General features: G+C 40.9%; 1 annotated feature.

The window, feature by feature from the left end:
- Positions 48-588: an enhancer, noted in NCBI's record as "NANOG hESC enhancer chr8:54572274-54572814 (GRCh37/hg19 assembly coordinates)". NCBI's record gives its function as "activates a minimal SCP1, AML or CMV promoter by ChIP-STARR-seq in naive and primed H9 embryonic stem cells {active_cell/tissue: H9 hESC(naive and primed)}" and the evidence as "EXISTENCE:reporter gene assay evidence [ECO:0000049][PMID:30033119]".

A 19544-nucleotide genomic window follows, 5' to 3' on the forward strand; every position in this document is an offset into this window, starting at 1 on the left:
CTTTCAACTTGTCCGGATGTGCACATAAAAGCAAGAAAGCAAGAGCACAGAGTGTCATGCCATTGTCTCTCTCACTGAAAGGAATTGCAGAGGCTTCACTTGTGGGGTCAAAGTTCCAGAATAAAACAAACCTGCTATTGGAAATGACATTTCACAATGTCCACCCACAAATCGGTGACCAAAACAAGGCCATGATATTCACTTCCAGAAACCCATTTGCATTAATGGAAATTTTAAAAAGAATTCTTTTGTGTTTTTTCACCTAAATTAGCATAGCAATGGTAATTGCCGAGGGGTATTCAAAAAGCGGATATTGGCAGGTAACTTGGAAAACAACCACTCCTTTTGAAAATTTAGGGCAAGAGGAAAGTATGGACAATTACAGGCCGGTGAGTGCTTCAAGGCAATGGCTCCCAAACTGGATTCTAACTTGAATTGTACAGCACAATTTTGGAGTGCCTTCTCATCCTGGGAAGCCTCTCTCTTGTAGGGAGATGACCCAACAGAATTTGTTCCTGGTTACTGGAGTAAGTGAGCACTGACTATGCATCAGGACCTGTAATAAGCGCCTAACTAAAATACACGATCTCATTTCATCTTCCTATCAAAGCTGCCAAATAGGCACTATTAACACCATTTTATAGATGGAAAAACTGAACCTCCAAAAAGGGTTTAGCAGTATGAACCACGGCTCCAATGTAAATCACCACCCTTTATCAGGAGGCATCCCACCAGACCCTGGCACTGCCTCCCAGGCCCTCCTTGCGTACACTCTTGAAGAAATCAAGCAACTCATTCCCTACCTCTTGACTACTTTTTTAAAAGGCTGATTTAACCCCAAAGTGCCTCTTACTTTTCGTCGCTCAACCTCCCTGCTATGCCATAGCTGAATTTGTCCATTCTTCTCCAGAGCCCAAGGGCCTTGGGGCACCGAAAGAGCTCAGCTCAGCCTCCACTCACTATCACCCAGGAGCCCATGTGCCTGCAAGGACTACCTCCATTCGGACCTTTCTGTGGTTCTGCAAGCGACGTGCCCAGAATCCTGGAATCCGTCCTCCCTTCACTGAAACCTCAGGAGGTGGCCGTTCTTTCCTTGGCCTTTCTTTATTTAAGGCTTTTCTCTGATCTCAAAATTAATTAATTCTCACTGAGAAAAATTGCAAAATACAGAAATATATAGACAGGAAATTAAAATCAGTCCTGATCCAACCTGCCAGAGACCAATGTTGTTGAACACGCTTACCAAGGCCTCGCCAGGGCCTGTTTACTGTCCACTCCACGTGCACATTGTTCACACACACATTGAGCATCTACTGCTTACCAGGCACCGCGTGAGGAGCCGGGTGCAGGGAAGTGACTCTGGCCTCCTCTGATTTGCCGTGGGGAGGCCACAAGGCAAGCAAAGAGCCACAATAAAAACCTCATAAACAGTCATCAAGTTACTGAAGGAAGGGTGTGAGACATTGCTGTGAACAAGAAGAACGAGGGAATACCAGTTAGATGCGGGTCAGAGAAGGCCTCTGGGAGGAGGAAGCAGACTCCGAGGAGTCCAGCGCTGAGGTCAGGGTGCCTGGCAGCTGACTCCAGGGGAGACCTGAGAGGCGCGGGCCACAGCGTGGAAGGAAGCTCTTCAGCCTTGAAGAAAGCGCCGGGGCCAGGTCCGCCAGCCCAAAGTCTATGCTCCTCAGCCGAGAAGGCTTCCTGGGGGAGGACAGGCAGGGAGTGGCCCGCACGGAGCCCAGATTCAGAAGGTTCCCGGCCAGCGTGAGGAACAGGAGAGAAACCCGGCAGGAGAAAGGGGTGGGTGTGGCCACAAAGAGGCCACATCTCAGATATATTTTGCAGGTAAAATTTCACGGAATGTAGATGTGTATAAAGAGGGAAACGTGAGCTCCAATACTTGTTCAGCCTTGGTTTAAATCAAGCTTGTCCAACTCTCGGCCTGAGGGCCACTTGTGGCCCAGGATGGCTTTGAATGTGGCCCAACACAGATTTGTAAACTTTCTTAAAACATTATGAGATATTTTTGTGATTTTTTTTAAAGCTCATCAGCTATCATTAGTGTTAGTGTATTTTATGGGTGGCCCAAGACAATTCTTCTTCCAATGTGATCCAGGAAAGCCAAAAGAGTGGACACCCCTTGTTTAAATCATCATTAAAACCCAACGCCACAAGCTCTGAGAGCAATTACGGTGGAGCTTTATAACTCTGAGAGGGTGCAAAGCGCTGACCTACCCATTAAAGAAAAGAGGTAACCTGGGAGAACATGAGAAGAGCCGTTGAAGACACTAAAAATTGTTCGAAGAGCCAAATCCAGCAAAGATTGTTTGAAGTCATGTGTATTTTGTATTTTCCACCATGAAATGGAGTGATTTATTTACAATCAATACCATTGTGAGTTTATACTGTAGTCAAAATGGTTTTTGTAAAACCCTTGATCTTGAGACTATAATATCTGTTCTACTTGTTTGTGAGAAATTTTATGTATTTATTATATAGGGTTATTACAACTTAAAATTACTATGTAACTGAGTCCAAACTCATTCTGCTCACTGCACCAGCCAAAAATTGAGAGACAAAAGTTAAAGCAAGGAAGGCAACTTTATTTTGACATGCCAGCAAACTGAGAAGATGGTGACCAATGTCCTAAAGTAACATCTGAAGTCAGTACAATTTCAGGGTCTTCTTATGTTATAGGCAGGGGGAAGAGGAGGAAATTGGGATTGCAAGGTAGTCGATGACTGCAGACATCTGGGCTCCAGGGAGGGTCCGAGGAGGCTGGGAAGTTTTTTGTCCTTGGTCAGGTCATAGTGCGCCCATAAATCTTCAACAAAACATTGTTAGTCGTTTACATACTTCCCCTTTAATCCCAGAGTTAGCTTCAAAAACTATGTAATTGCTGTTTCTGTATTTTATCTCAGTGCTCTTCAATTATCCTAGCCTATGTGCAGGGATGAGTAAAAGCTCCTTAAACAAAAATGGAATTAGTTATGTTCATTATTTTGCTGTTTCACTGTGACACCTGTGAAACATGCAGTACTTAATTCAACTTTGACCTTACTGGCCTTGTTTTAGTTGACCCAAATCACAGTATGAACATGTATAGATTCTCTTAAAGTTATGAAAACCCATTTGTGAGGTTTCTTTCTTCCTAACATAGGATTCATAAGTAAAAGTAACTAGTAATCATAGCACATACAAATTTTAAATACAACGTATTATTGTACTTAAGATTTTAAAGTAAATTATGATCTTAGTAGACCCAAATTTTAAATACAATGCAGAAACCTGTTATTCTACAAATATACATATACAAGCACTATCAATTCACCTAATCAAAATTATAATTTATTTTATCCTTTTTTTTACTTAAAATATCTTGAAAAGTTGTCTTGTATCATTAAGAATTCTTAAACAAATTGATTTCCAATGTCAGCATAGTAGCCTTAAATATAAATATGTCTGACTGATGTATTAATTATCTCATTAATCATTTAGAGTTTTTTTCCAATCTATATTGGACTAGCTATTCCCTGAATAGTTACATGAATCTCTGTGAGCATCACTTAGGATTTAATTAAACTAGACTCCTATAAATGGAGTGACAAAATTAGAAGGTTTATTTTTAAAGATCTTGAAACTTATTGCTATATTGCCTTTTAAAACAGGATCATCTTACATATTCTGGATATTACACCTTTGTCAGATGCATTGTTTACAAATTTTTCTCTCATTCTGTGGGTTGTCTCTTCACTCTTGATTATTTTGTTTGCTGTGCAGAAGTTTTTAGTGTGATGTAATCCCATTTGTCGATGTTTGCTTTTATTGCTTGTGCTTTTGAGGTCTTATCCAAAGCATCCTTGCCCAGTCCAATGTCATAAAGTGTTTTCCCTGTGTTGTTTTCTAGTAGTTTTATAGATTTGGGTCTTACATTTAAGTCTTTAACTCATTTTGAGTTGATTTTTGTATATGGTAAGAGATAGGATCCTAGTTTCATTCTTTTTCATGTGGCTATTCTATTTTCCCAGCACCATTTATTGAAGAGACTATCCTTTCTCAATGTGCATTCTTGGCACCTTTGTCAAAAATCAGTTGGCTATAGATGCATGGGTTTATTTCTGAGTTCTCTATTCTGTTCCCTTGTTCTATGTGTCTAATTTTATGCCAATATCATACTGTTTTGGTAATTATAGCTTTGTAGTATATTTTGAAGTCAGGTAGTGTGATCACTACAGCTTTGTGTCTTTATTTATCAAAAGAAAACATACAAATGGCCAACAGGTATATGGAAAAATGCTCAGCATCACTAATCATCAGGGAAATGCTAAACGAAACCACAAGGCACTATCACCTCACTCCAGTTAGAACGGCCATTATCAAAAAGACAAAAGATAACAAGTGTTGGTGAGGATGTGGAGAAAAGGGAACCCTTGCATACTGTTAGTGGGAATGCAAATTAGCCTTTTTGGGAAACCACATGGAGGTTCCTCAAAAATTAAAAATAGAACTACAATATGATCCAGCAATCCCACTTCTAGGTATATATCCAAAGGAAATAAAATCAGTACTATCTGACTAAGAGTTATCTGCACTCTCATGTTTATTGCAGCACTATTCACAATAGCCAAGATTTGGAATCAACCTAAGTGTCCTTCTACAGATGAATGGATTAAGAAAATGCAGGACATATACACAATGGGATACTATTCAGCCTTAAGAAAGAACGAAATCCTGTCATTTGTGACAGCATGGATAAACCTGGAGAACATTATGTTAAGTGAAATAAACCAGGCACAGAAAGACAAATAGCACATCTTCTCACTCATACGTGGAATCTAAAAAAGTTGATCTTACAGAAGTAGTGAATAGAACGGTTGTTGCCAGACACCGGCTGGAGTGGTGGGGGGTGAGAGGTTGGTCAATGGGTACAAAGTTACAATTAGGAGGAATAAGCTCTGGTGTCCTATTGTACAATAGGGTGAAAATAGTCAAAATAAGGTATTGTATATCTCAAGATATCTAGAAGAAAGGATTTTGTAAGTTCCCACCACAAAGAAATGATCAATGTTTGTGGTGATATGTATGCTAATTATCCTGATTTGATTATTATGCAATCAAATATACGATGTGATAATTACACAATGTAGACATGTATCAAAACATCACACTGTACCCCTAAATATGTACAATTATGTGTCAATTAAAAATTTTAAAAATTATTTCAAAATAAAATATATATTTAAAAATTTAATTAAAAATTTAAAAATCAGAAAGCATTAAACATTTTTTATACACAGGGTCACCAATTAACCTTACCCTACCCCACCCCACCCCCACAGTCATGAGCATCAGCTCATCTTGCCCTTACCTTCTCCTCCATCCTCCAAGCTGCTGGTGCTTCCCTTCCATCCCCTTGATGCTGTTCTGGAGACAATGAGTTAGTCTCCCAAGACCTGGTTGTTTAAAAGTGTGTAGCACCTACCCCCTATTCCTGCTCCCTCCATGTGATGTGGCTGTTCACCTTCACCTCCCGCCATGATTGGAAGCTTCCTGAGGCCTCTGCAGAGACAGAGCATATGCCAACATCACGCTTCCTGTACAGCCTGAGGGACCCTGGGCCAATAAATCCTCTTTTCTTTATAAATTACCTGGTCTCCATTATTTCTTTATAGCAATGCAAGAGTAAACTAATACATTGACAAATCCCATGAAATAGTACATAAATCTGTGTGTGTGTGTGTATGTGTGTTTGTGGCATTTTGGGAGGAATAGGATTCATGAAATCTATGCTATTTTCAAAGGGGTCTGTGACACCATAAAATGCTGAGAAGCCCTATTTAGATCCATCAATTCTGTGTCTTTACTAAATGGGACGACTTGCCTGAAATAAATGTGGCAGATAAACAACAGATTTAGACAGCAGAGATGAAGAGACAGGCTTCAGAAAGTTTCCACAAGTTGGAAAAGAGGACCAGGAACACAGGGAAGAGTTCAGATGGCCCTACCTCCTGCGCACCCATGGGAGAAAGGCCCAGCCCCAGCAGGGCGCACAGAAGGTGGAGGCTCAGAAGGGAAGAACTGACCTCGCCATAGGCTTGCAGGATCCGAGAGAAAGTGTTGCCCATGAAGGGCTGCCAGGTGTGGCAGGTTCGCAGGGAAGCTCTCTGCCCTCCTCCATTTGCCTAAAAGCAGGACAGAAATTTACAAAGCTAAAGGCATCCCCTCCTCTCCACCCTCCACCCTCCCACTTCCCCAAGAAGATCAAAGTTTAACCACTGAGCACAGCTTTGGACCTTCCTTGTCTGGAGACAATGTCTGGAGACGATGTCAGAGGACTCTACATTAACTAACCTTTATCTGCCCTGTGTCTGCCTCCCCAGGTGTGGGGCAGCAGGACTGCCATGGCAGGAAAGGGACTGCGCGGCCCAGGCATAGCGCAGAAAGCACCTAAGTGGCTCATTGCCCAGCAATGAAGAAAAAATGAGTACCAAAAATGGGACTCCACCACAGTGACAGGGAGGGCCGGCAGGCTGGGGTGGCCGCATCTGAGGACCCAGAGTGAGCAGGACCGCGGCCCTTCTTTGCAGATGCCAGCACAGGGGGAGGAGATGACCACTGCTGCCCAGGGGAGAGCAGCTCCGAAGGGAAGGAGAAAGGGGATCCCTGCACGGACCCAGAAAGCCTGAATGAATGGCCTTGAGCTGAATTTAATTTTCTGCCTCAGTAGAAGAAAGGCTCAAAACAGAACTGAGTTATTTTAAGAGTACAGGATTTACACCCTGAGTTTGTGGCTGTGAGTGGCCAGCTTGGTCCAGACCCTCACCACCACCCCTTCCACACCACAGAGTGAAATAATTAGCAATCCACATCTGAATCTGAGATTCTTATTGTACCAGAGAAAGGTGAGTGCTGGGAATGTCAAATGATTTGTCCAAAGTACATTTAATGGCAAAGCAAGAACCTTTTACTTGAAAACTAACAGCATAATGCATGCTATCTGCAGGTGAGTGCACACCAATTATATCCCATCTCTTACTCCAGAGACCTATCCTGTACCAAGCTTCTCTGAATGTCATTAACACAACCCAGAGCCTAATGGCCCACTTCAATCTTCAGGCTCAATTCCCATTCGATTGTCTAACCAAAGTGTCTGGCATGTAACAGACATTCAAGAAATGTCTTAAGGAATGAGTGAATGAATTTTATACAGTATTTTTTCTATAATTTTCCTCTTTTCAGACCTTTATTCCATATACAGCATTGATATCTGGGTGTCTGATGACACTGCAAAGAAGTTGGGTTCCAAATGCATGCCTGGAAAAGCATCCATGGACAATGGCCAGGGCGTCGCTGTAGAGAGTACAATGACGGCCCACTGCCTATGCTGTGCGCTCACTTGAGTCTCACAGTCACCCTCTGAAGTCAGTACAATTATTATCCCCCAAGTTCTAGGAGACAAAATGAACATCTGACAAAGTGACGTGGCTTGCCTGAGGTCACAGGCTGGGAGTTGCCAAACAGAGACTCGGCCTCAGGCCAGTCTGTTTCTGAAGGCCGCCTCCAGGCTGCCATCCCTGTTAGAGCTCTTGAAATTATATTATGGTCAAGTATGTTCTGACTTTATGCGCAACTGATGCGGTGGACTACCTGCCCTACACTGCAAGGCACCTTCCGTGGCTGGCCTCTGACCATTTCCAGTGGGGAGAAACTGCACCATCATGAAGACAGCAGGGGACCCAGTCTTGTTTGGCGTTTCCTACTTTCAGCAATCTGTGCTGCAGTTCTGCATCCTCGACACAGACAGCCAGGAATCCACTGTATCATACAAGAAGGATTAGCAGCCAGTTTTTATTGCGATATAATACACATAACATTTACCATCTTGACCATTTTTAAGTGCACCATGTAGTTTTTACTTTTAAATGTAGATAAGCTGCTTAAATGCCCCCTACCTTGAGCAGGCTGACTCCTCATAGCAGAGAGAGACTCAACCTCACTTCTAGTTTACAGTGCAGAGGACAAGCCAAAAAAAAAAATCATATCCCATAGAGATGTCAACGTAGCAAAGTCCATTGAGTTCAGGAGAAGCCAGGAACTCCCCTTCATGGTCCAGCGTCAGACTGAGCACAGCACACAGCAGAATGGTCCCCAGAGGTGGGAGAACAGTTACCTGCTGCCTGCAAGGGTCACCTCCTGAGAGTTCATCCAGCAAGCCTCAGAGACCTCACCAACAGATGGGAGGCTGAGGGATGGCGGATTCCCCTCTATGCCATTCTTTCCAAACAGTTCATGGGTTTCTCTGTTTTAAACTTGCAGAGTAACCTAAATTCCAGTTACTTTTTCTGATAAAGTTTGATTCTGGAATTTGTATCATCTCTTTTTGAAGCTACAATAAAGTTAAGAATAAACTCTATGTTATAACTTATAAATTATAAGCTATATAAGTTACAGTTGAGAATAGGGTTTAAACTTTTCTTAATTAAGACTATGCTCTTATCTAGCCTCCTTACTCTTACTGCAAAAAGAGATAAGAGTAAGAGGTGTCCCATAATCCCCACAAGATCAAGATGAATCTTATGTGTTGCAAACATGCGGGATGAAATGACTTATGAGGAGTGTAACACTTAGTACCTCCAGACAAAGCTACAACTTACTAAGAGAGAATCCTAACAAGCTATGTTCTTTATTTGGAAGGTTAGGAACCGGAATCTTCACTTTAAAATTCAGGAAAGATCTACACTGCTCACACAATCTGCATATGAATCTAAAACAATCCCTCAAATGCTTCCTTGACTTGGGGATTAATCAAGGAGCAAAAGGATGCATTGAGAAGCTAGAATCCACACTCAGGGTTTTACATGCTTATATTAAAGTAAACAAAGAGCAGTGGTTTGCCAACATTTTTGCTTACACACCTCCTTCTTCATTTGTTGTGGTGCTGTAACAAAATAACTGAAACTGGGTCATTTATGAAGAACAGAAATTTAGATCTCACAGTTCTGGGGGCTGGAATTCCAAGACGGAGGTGGCAGCAGGTTTGGTGTCTGGTGAGGGCTGCTCTCCACTCCCAGATGGTGCCTTGTGCTACCTCCTCAGGAGTGGGGGGAATGCTGAGTCCTCACATGGCGGAAGGCAGGGGGTGAAAGGGAGAAATTCCCCCTCCAAACCCCTATAAAAGGCTACCTAATCCCATTCACAAGAGAGGAGCCCCCCTGGCTTAATCACCTCATAAAGGCCCCAACTCTTAATTAACTGTGATTAGTTTTCTGAAGTTCAAGCCTAGTTCATTATATCCCAGACTGAGTATGGGAGATATTTTGCATCTAACCACATAAGGAGATCTGTTCTTAAGAGTATAATTTAGGTCGGGCGCGGTGGCTCATGCCTGTAATCCCAGCACTTTGCGAGGCCAAGGCTGGTGGATCACTAGAGGTCAGGAGTTCGAGACCAGCCTGGCCAAGATGGTGAAACCCTCATCTCTACTAAAAATAGAAAAATTAGCCAGGCATGGTGGCGGGTGCCTCTAATACCAGCTACTCAGAAGGCTGAGGCAGGAGATTCGCTTGAACCCGGGAGGTGGATGTTGCAGTGAGCTGAGATCACGCCACTGCACTCCAGCCTGGGCAACAGAGCAAGACTCCATCCCAAAAAAAAAAAAAAAAAAAGGAAAGAGAGAGTATAATTTAATCTTCTCTGTGGAAATAAACAGCAAAAAGAAGAGGTACTACTGTGTTACAAGTAGCTATGGAACTTATAAAATATGTATTAGTAATTCTCATTAAGTGTAATATACTCTCAGTCTCCAATAATCTGGCAAACATGAATGTAAATATTTTTCCCTTGGGTTTGAATAAAGGTTTGTGAAAATATAAAATAATTATGTGTATGTGCTCTACGTGACTTTTTTTTGCAAATTTATAACGCCAGAAGTAAACATGTATCTTTTCACCTTCTCCTCTTTGAAACCATGCGAAATTGGAACTGAGTCACAGTCCAAGAAATAAGCCCATGAGAGGGGTCTGTCTCATGTCTGAGGGGAGGAATTGCAAAGGGCTCCTTTAGGGGCAGAGAGATGCTTCCTTGTGCGCTTTTTACGAATCTTTTGTACTTGATTCCATGGATACTTCAAAGAAGGCCTGGAGCTTTGCTGTGAGCCTGTATTCAGATGGATAAATGTCTTGCCCTCACGGCCTTCATGCTTTTACTGATACTTGCCAAGCTTTGCTGTCAGGAAACTGTCCCTAAAGATGGGCACACTGCTCAACAACAGTCAGGGCAGAAAAGACGAAATCACAGAATCAAAAGTGGCTTTCTGCACCGCCCCACTGGGCAATATCTCAGAACTCAGAACCTCCCAACAGTGACCAAATGCTGTTTCTAATGTCTTCTTTACTTTGAACAGAAACATGTTTAAGACAGCAGTGCAGATGACAGTATCTCAGATCGTTCCTTTGTTTTGTAAAGTGGAAGAAAGGCTGTCCTTAAAGGGGCAGGGAGAATGAAGAAGAGCTGTGACTCTCAAAGCAGGACCCGTGGGAAGGGTGCTGTCCTGAAGGACGCAGGTAGATGCCAAGACACCTGCTGGTTCCTCCTCCCCAGGGAACTATTTGCTCTTTCACCTGTTGCTGCGCTGGCTCAGTCTGAACCCCCTTCTGTGGGTTCCACGGTGGCCCCATCCCAGATGGTCTGGTCTGATCTCCAGAATGCCCATTTCTATTGATGTATTTTTTCTAGGTGCCATTTTTCATAGCTGCAGCTTTGCTAAGTGATCTCATGAGTGGCTCTGCAAGGCTCCAACAGGATGTCTCTCTCCTGAGTGCAGCCGCCCCTTCTCTCCTGAGTGGGTGGGAAAGTCTCATCCTGGTAGGACCAGAGGCAAAACTGAAAATGGAGCATCCTTCAAAGAAAGCAGGGATAATGAAGTCTGGTGGATAAGGACCAACAAGTACCTGTTGAATTTAGCAGCAAGGTAAAGTATTTGAGAGCAGTTACATCCGAGGAGTGCCACAGGAGGCAGCTGGCAGTGAGCTGAGCACGTGCCAAAAGATCCCTGGAAAGGCTGAGTGGATCTCCAATCTCATCCTTTCCTCTGTGAAACTTTCCCCAGTTTCTCCAAACCACAGCTATGCATCAGTCCTGGCAGCCATATGAAACATTTTTTATTTTTCTTAAAATAGTCATCACATTTTGCCTTAGGTTGAAGCCATGATTTATCTCTCTTCCTGTATCATAAACTCTCCGAAGACAGAAAGTAGCATCAATCACATGTTCTCTTATTCACCCATGACACACACACACCATACACCACACCCACACATATATATACACACCACACACCACAAACACACACCATACACTCTACACATATACACATTACACAACACACACATCACATCACACCACACACATATACACACTACACACACTCTGCATATACACACCACACACTACAACACATCACACACACTCTACACATACACACACATCACACACCATATACACACCACACACCACAAACACACACATACACATACTCTACATTTATACACATACACACCATACACATCACACCACACACATATACACACTACACACACTCTTCACCTACACACCACACACAACACATCACACACACTACACACACATACACATCACACACACTCTGCATATATACACACACTCTACAATACACACCACACACGTTACACACACTATACATCTCACACATACACATTGCACACACCACATAGCTCACACACACCACATACACTATACACACACTACACTCATACATACATACACAGCACACACACCACAAACATCATAAATACTTCACATATAGACATACACACCTCACACATACAAACCACACACACACACACACACACCCCAAACACACACAGGCATAAGTGCCAACACTCATTCCAACACACGGTAGTTGGTTTAAAATGTTAATTTAAATTGAGTTAAAGTACTCTACATCAAAAAAAGCTTCCTACCATTTTTTAAAATACTCTATTCCACTGGTTTATTGTTGAATTATACAGTGGTGATACAGAAACTCCTTTCTGATCATTTGATTTATTTCCATCTCAGTGTCATGTTTTCACCTCTAAATAAAACTCGATTTGAATAAATTGACACCCAGCATTAATCACGTGCTTACTAAATATTCATTGGAAGCATGGATACACACAGCATGTCTTTTAGAGCTCAATGCTTGAGTTAGTTTTCGCTTGGGATGTCAACTGAATTTTAACATCCTTGGCAAACAGTGACTCCGTGTATAATGTGAAGATTCATCACACACGTCTCAGCTTGGAGCAGAGCTTTGTCAAGGGAGACGGGCCTCTCCTAGGCTGCCCCTCTGTTGGGTACCCATCTGCTCCTCAATTTTCTAGTCCCAGAGCCATGATATTACCAAAAGAATGAAAGCTGATCAGCTTTTCAGACGCTCTGCTGAACAGAGTGTCATATAAGCAAAACACTAATTCACCCATTTAGGAAGTGAGTGTGGCTATCCAGGATGCCACACCCACGCTGTGTGACCAGCTCACATTGCCCAGCACAGAGGAGCAAAGACACCAGGAAGTGGGGTGTGCCTCAACTGCATCTTCCAGATCTCGTCTAACAGGAAATCCTCATTCTCATCCAGAACACTGGCAGCAGGTGCTTTAAATATAGTCTATTAATAGAAAATTTGAGGTATAGTAAGGCCAACAGATCAGGAAATGGTTGTAGTTTGGAAGATAGTTTTTTACTCACAGTTCCCAAAAGGATGAAGCATGCCATGCCGTGCAGAGCCAAGAAGAATAACACCGAGGGTGGTCAAGGGTTGGGGAGTGGGAACTGTGGGAAAGAGCCCTTATGGTGGTTTCCACAGGAAGGAATGTGTGAGGCAGGGGGAGCAGGCTTAGGGCTGAATGGGTTGAATAGTTTCAGTAGATTCTGGGGGGATAGGGACTTTCCCTAGCTGTCTGAGGTCATTAGGGTAGGTAGATAGTGGCCCAGATGTGAGATCCCAATAAAGCAGGCCTTTGAGGTGTGAACTCTAGATTGTTGGCTTGTATTTGAAAAGCATTCTCATGGCAAGTGGTTTGCTATCTCTAGGAATTGTCAAGCCTGAGAGGGGCAGTCTCTCCAGGGTCAGCAAGGCTCCAAATGCCAAAGCATCAGAACACAAAAAACAAAAAATATGCTGAATACAGCAGGGAGTCTGGAGAAGGTAGCTTGGGCTTTTCAGCCTCTGACATGAGGGCACCATTGGCAGTCTCAGTGGATACTGAAGGTCAGGGGACCTGTTCGATGCAAGACCCTTTGCAAGGCTCAAGGTAAACACGACTCTCATGCTCAGACACAGCCAAGAAAGAGACAAGAGACAAAACAGCACACAATACTAATACAAGGCAAAGTGAGACAAGGGACACTCAAGTGACAGAGGTACCTACATGAATTACTGAAAGCAGTGAGCACACTCCGCTGGGGGGACCAGGAAGGCCATGGCAATCGCACTGAGCTAGATTTTGACAGATTGGTAAGATTTGAAAGAATGAGGACAACAGGAATTTCAGATGAAAAGAAGAGGTAGTGAGGGGTTAAGAGAGAGTGTGTTTAGGGAATGGGGCTAAGTGTCCTTTGACTCATAAGCTGGCATGAAAGAAGAACATAAACTCTAGGCTAGATCTAGAGTTTGAAAAAATCTTCTAACAACAACATCTGGAATTGACTGGAGTAGTCAATTCAGACACCTCTCCAATTAACCAATTGACAGGTCATGAGACCCAAACTATAAGAGTGGCAAGTGAAATGGAATTTATAAAGACAGGCTATTTTTTAAGTTGAAATAACAGATCTTGGTGGCCAGACTAGGAATTCTTCATAGACACGGATTAAGTCCTATGTATCTTATTAATGTCCCTGCTTTGCACAGTGCCTGGAGAAGAAGTGCAAGATATTGTAAAATAGGATCTACATGACTTGGTATGTTGAAGAAATGTTGACAGTGAGTCAAAAGGTTGTGAACCTTAATGGCAGAATGCTGTGCTCCTGACTGTGGCCACAGAGAAGCCACAGGGATGTCTGAATGAGAAGTGAGCCTGACTTGCTGAGATCAGGGGAGTAGCAACATTCATACTAAATCTGAGAAAGATCACAGGCAACAGTTTGGGAGCGAAATATGAAGCAAGAAACAGAGAGTAGAGGGAAGCTTTACAGTACAGCCTTGAAGTGAAGGAAGAGGAAAAACCAGGAGCAGACAGAGCCAAAAGAGGGCCTGGATCAAGCAGCATCCTGGAAACCAGAATCTGAAGGCCAAGAAAGACGTCCTGTACCATGTCACAAAAGGCTTAAGGGACCGTGGGGAAAAGCAATTGATTCTGTGCCTGGGAGGTGATTGGTGATGTCTGAGTGAGCACTTGCAATAAAGCAGTAATCCCCAACCTTGCGTTGCTCACTGTAATCTCCTGGAAATTTAAAAAGTTTCATGCCTCAAGTCCATCCCTAGAGATCCGTGTCTAACAAGCCTGGGCTAAGATCTGGACATCAGGATTTTTAAAGCTTCTCAGGAAATTCTAATGAGCTGCCCAGCTAAGGTTGAGAATCATAGCAGTAGAATATTGACAGAAGAAGCCAAATTACCCGAATTAAGAAGAATATATCTGGAAGGTGCCGGCCTTGTGCAAAGCAGTGTTCCTCAGACACGAGGGTGCATCAGAATCACCGCAGAGCTTGTCCACCACAAAGGGCTGGGCTTCAGCCTCACTCGCCCAGAACTTCTGATTGAGTAGGTCTGAGTGGGGACCCAGGAATATGCATTTCTAACAAATTCCTAAGTGATGCTGATGCTTCTGGTCTGGAAATCACACCATGAGACTCACTGGTATAGAGATTACTCTTTCAAAAACTTTAGTGGTGAGAAAATAAGAAAAACATTGTAGCCAGTGGATGAGAAGATTGACTCAAAAAATTTACCTCTGTAAAATAGCCCTAAAATCTGTTACTTGCTAGTTCAGCGGGCTGAGGCAAATCATTTCACCCAGTCCCGTTCGATGTTGCCTTACCTCACTATCACCTGGGAAACCTTAAACACATGCCCGTGTTCAGGCTTCACTCACAGAGATTCTGATTTTCTGACCTGAATTGGGATCCAGGGTTTTATTTATTTTTAATTTTTTATTTTTAGAGACACAGTCTTCCTATGTTGCCCAGGCTGGAATGCCATGGCTATTCACAGGTGCTATCATGGTGTACTGCAGCCTCACACTCTTGGGCTCAAGTGATCCTCCTGCCTCAGCCTCCCAAGTAGGTAGGACTTAGAGGCACATGTCACCATGCTTGGCTGTGTTAGACATTTTTTAAAGCTCATTAATTCAACTTACCAGTCTCACTTTTCTTGATGAATAATAAGAATCATATCACTGTGTGGTCAACTTTCTTATTTAAAAACTAAAGGTAAATTATACTTAATGGTGAAAGATTAAATACATGCTCCCAAAAGTGGGAACAAGACAAGGAAGTGTGCTGTCACCACTTTTGTTAACAGAATGCTTGACATTCTGGTCAGTGAGTAAGGCAAGAAAAGAAACTAAATAGCATATATATCAGAAAGAGAGAAATAAAATTGTTTCTATGTGCAGATGACATGACTGTCTCCATAGAAAATCCCAAGAAGTCTTTCTAAAACTATTAAAACTAATAAGTGAGTTCAGCTGGATTGCAGGACACAAAATCAACATTGAACATTAATTATATTTCTACATACTAGCAATGAACATATGGAAACCAAAAATTAAAAACACAGTACCATCTATATTCACCCAAAGAAAGTGAAATACGTAGGTGGTATAAATCTAACAAAACATATATAGATTCATATGCTAAAAATTACAAAATGCTAATAAAAAACAAATAAGACCTGAATAAATGAAAATATAAATTATGTTTACAAATTGTAAGACCCAACATCACAGAGATGTCCATTTTCCCCAAATTGATACACAGATCTAAAGCATTTTCTATGAAAATCTAAGCAAACTTTTGTAGATATTGACAAGATTATCCCACAATTTATATAGAAAAGCAAAAAACAAAAAACCTAGAATCCCTACAATTTTGAAAACGAAGAATAAAGTAGGGAAAATGAGTTCACCCAATTTCAAGAATTACTGTATAGCACTGATAATCAAGATTGTGTAGTATTTGTGAAAAGACAGACTAAGATCAATAAAACATAATAACAACAACCAAACGTAGGCCTAAACAAATGTGCCAATTTATTTTTGGAAATGGTACAAAAGTAAATCAGTGGGAGAAAGATTGTCTTTTTAACAAATGGTCCTGGAGGAGTTGGACATTTATAGACAAAAAGAAATAAATAACCTCAATACAAATCTCACACATTATACAGAACTTAACTCAAATTGGATCACGAACTGAAGTGTAAAATGTAAAACTATTATTTTCAGAAAAAAAATAGAAGAGACATCGTAGAAAATGGTGCAGTAGAGAGGACCAAGATTTAGTTTCCTCATTGCAGCGACCATTAAGTTGGCAAAAAAAAAAAAAAAAAAAAAAGAGAGAGAAAGAAAGAAACAACTTTTTCAGAACTTGGTAAATCTAATTTTAAAGAGCCAGGTGGGGCATGGTGGCTCACGCCTCCCTTTGGGAGGCTGAGGTGGGCAGAATACCTGAGGTCAGGAGTTCAAGACCATCCTAGCCAACATGGCGAAACCCCGTCTGTACTAAAAATACAAAAATTAGCCAGGCATGGTGGGTCTCACCTGTAATCCCAACTTGGGAGGCTGAGGCAGGAGAATTGCTTGAACCTGGCAGGCAGAGGTTGCAGTGAGCCAAGATCGCTCCATTGCACTCCAGCCTGGGCGACAGAGCAAGACTCCAAAAAAAAAAAAAAAAAAAAATCCAGAGAAGTCCGAAATAAATAGAAAAAGGTTGCTAAATTTTGGCATTTGGGGAAAACTCTGTTGGGTCACAAACTTGCTGCTAAAATAACCGGAAAGAGACCAGTGACTACAGATGACAAGGAATGCAATTTTTGCCAAAATAGTTTAGAAAGGTCATTAAACAAATGGACTATTGCAGCCCTCGACAAGAACCAACAGCAAATGATGGAGAGGGCAAAAATTTGATTTCCATACTTACCACGTGATAACATTCAAAATGTCCAGTTTTCAGCAATTACAAGACATAAAAAGAAACAGAAAAGTATGACTCGTGCGCAGGAAAAAAATCAAAAAGAAATGGACAGAAACCACTCCTGAGGAAGTCGAGACATTGGACTTATTAGACAAAGACTTTAAATCAACTGTCTTAAACATGCTCAAAGAACTAAAGGCAAATAACCACAGGAAACAGAGAATGATATGTGAACAAATAGATGATATTAATAAAGATAGAAATTATTAAAGGTAACCAAATAAAAAATGTTGTGCTAAAAAGCACAATAACTGAAATAAAAAATCTATAGAGAGGTTTAACAGCGGATTTGAGCAGACAGAAGATTCAATAAACTTAAAGATACAACAATTAAAATTATCCAGTCTGAGGAGCAGAAAGAAAAAAGAGTAAGAAAAGTGAACAGAGCCTGAAGTACCTGTGGGAAACCATCAAGTACACCAACATGCACATAATAAGAGTCCAAGGGGAGAAGAGAGAGGAAAACAGACAAAACGAATGTTTGAGGAAATAATGGCTCAAACCTTCCCAAATTTGATGAAAGATGTGAATCTATACAACCAAGGAGCTCAACAAGTTTCAGGTAAGATAAAGTCAAAAAGAAGCACACTGACACAAATTATAATTAAACTCTCTAGAGACTAAGTCAAAGAATCTTGAAAGCAGCAAGAGAAGAGTGATTCATTGCATAAAAGGGATGCTCAATAAGATTAACAGCCAATTTCTCATCAGAAACTATGAAGGCCAGAAGTCTGTATATGACAAATTTACAGTGCTGAAAGAAAGGAAAAACAAACCTGTCAAGCAGGAATTCTATCTCAGACAAAACTATTCTTCAAAAATGAAAGACAAATTGAGATTTCCAGATATAACCTGAAGAGGTTTATTATAGGAGAATTGTCTTACAAACAACATTTAAGAGACTCATTCAGGAAGAAATGAAATGACACTAGACACTTATGTGAATTCATATTAAAAAAAAAAACTAGTAAAGGTAACTACGTAGGTAAATATAAGGCCAATATTATTGGATTCTTTGTTTTTAACTTCTCTTTTAGTTTTCTATATGTAAAGATATAATGTATGACCACAAAAATACAAAGAGGGAGTGTATGGAGTTGTACAGAAGCAGTGTTTACTGCTACTGAAAATAAGTTAGTATCAATGCAAACTAGATTGCTGTAAATTTAGAATATTAACTGTAATTCCAAGAGTAACCATTAAAAAAAAAAAAACGTAAAATATACAGAACAAGGAATGAGGAGAGAATCAAAATGGTATACTACCAAAAGAATCAATCAAACACTAAATAAGGCCATAATGGAGCAATTGAGGAACATAAAAGATATGACATACAGAAAACAAATAGCAAAATGGCAGAATTAAATGATTCCTTTTCTGTAATCATTTTAAATATAAATAGTTTAGACTCTGCAATTTAAAGACATTGATGGAATGGACAATAAATATGATCCACCTCTAAGCTGTCACTGTAGATCCAAAGACATAAAGAAGTTGAAAGTAAAAGGATGGGAAAAAGTCTTTTTCCATGCAAATAGTACTATTTCTTTTTACTATGAAAATAGTAACCAAAATGAAGTTTGAATGGCTGTGCTAATATCAGACAAAGTAGACTTTTAGTCAAATATTGTTACAAAAGATAAAGAAGAACATTATATATGGATAATTATAAACTTACATACATCAAACAGCAGAACCCCAAAATATATGAAGCAAACATTAGCAGAATTGCTGGGAGAAGCAAACAGTTTTAAAGTAATAGTTGGAGACTTCAATACCTCACTTTCAATAAATGGATAAAACATTGAACCAGAAGGTCAATAAGGAAACAGAAAACTTGAACAATATTATAAAACAACTAGACCTAACAGACTGCTATAGAGCACCACACACCAAGAGCAGAATAAACATTCTTTTCAAATGCACATGAAACATTCCCCTGAACAGCCCATATGTTAGGCCACAAAACAAGTCTCAATAAGTTTTAAAAGACTAAAATCATACAAAGCATGTTCTCCAGCCACAATGGAATAATAAGAGAAGGAAGAACTGGAAAAATCAAAAAAGGAAAGAAATTAAACAACACACTCCTAATCAACAAGTCAAAGAAGAATTCACAGGGAAATTAAGAATATACTTAGAGATGAGTGAAAATAAAACACAAAATCCTAAACTTACGGGATGCCGCAAAAGCAGTGCTCAGAGGGAAGTTCATTGCTATAAACACCTACATCAAAAAGAAGAAAGATCTTGGATCAACAACCTAACTTTATTCTGTAAAAGGAGAATAAATCTTGGGGCCCTCAAATCACTAAGCTAAAGGGAAAACTTAA

Source organism: Homo sapiens, chromosome 8 (assembly GCF_000001405.40).
Source record: "Homo sapiens chromosome 8, GRCh38.p14 Primary Assembly".
NCBI lineage: Eukaryota > Metazoa > Chordata > Mammalia > Primates > Hominidae > Homo > Homo sapiens.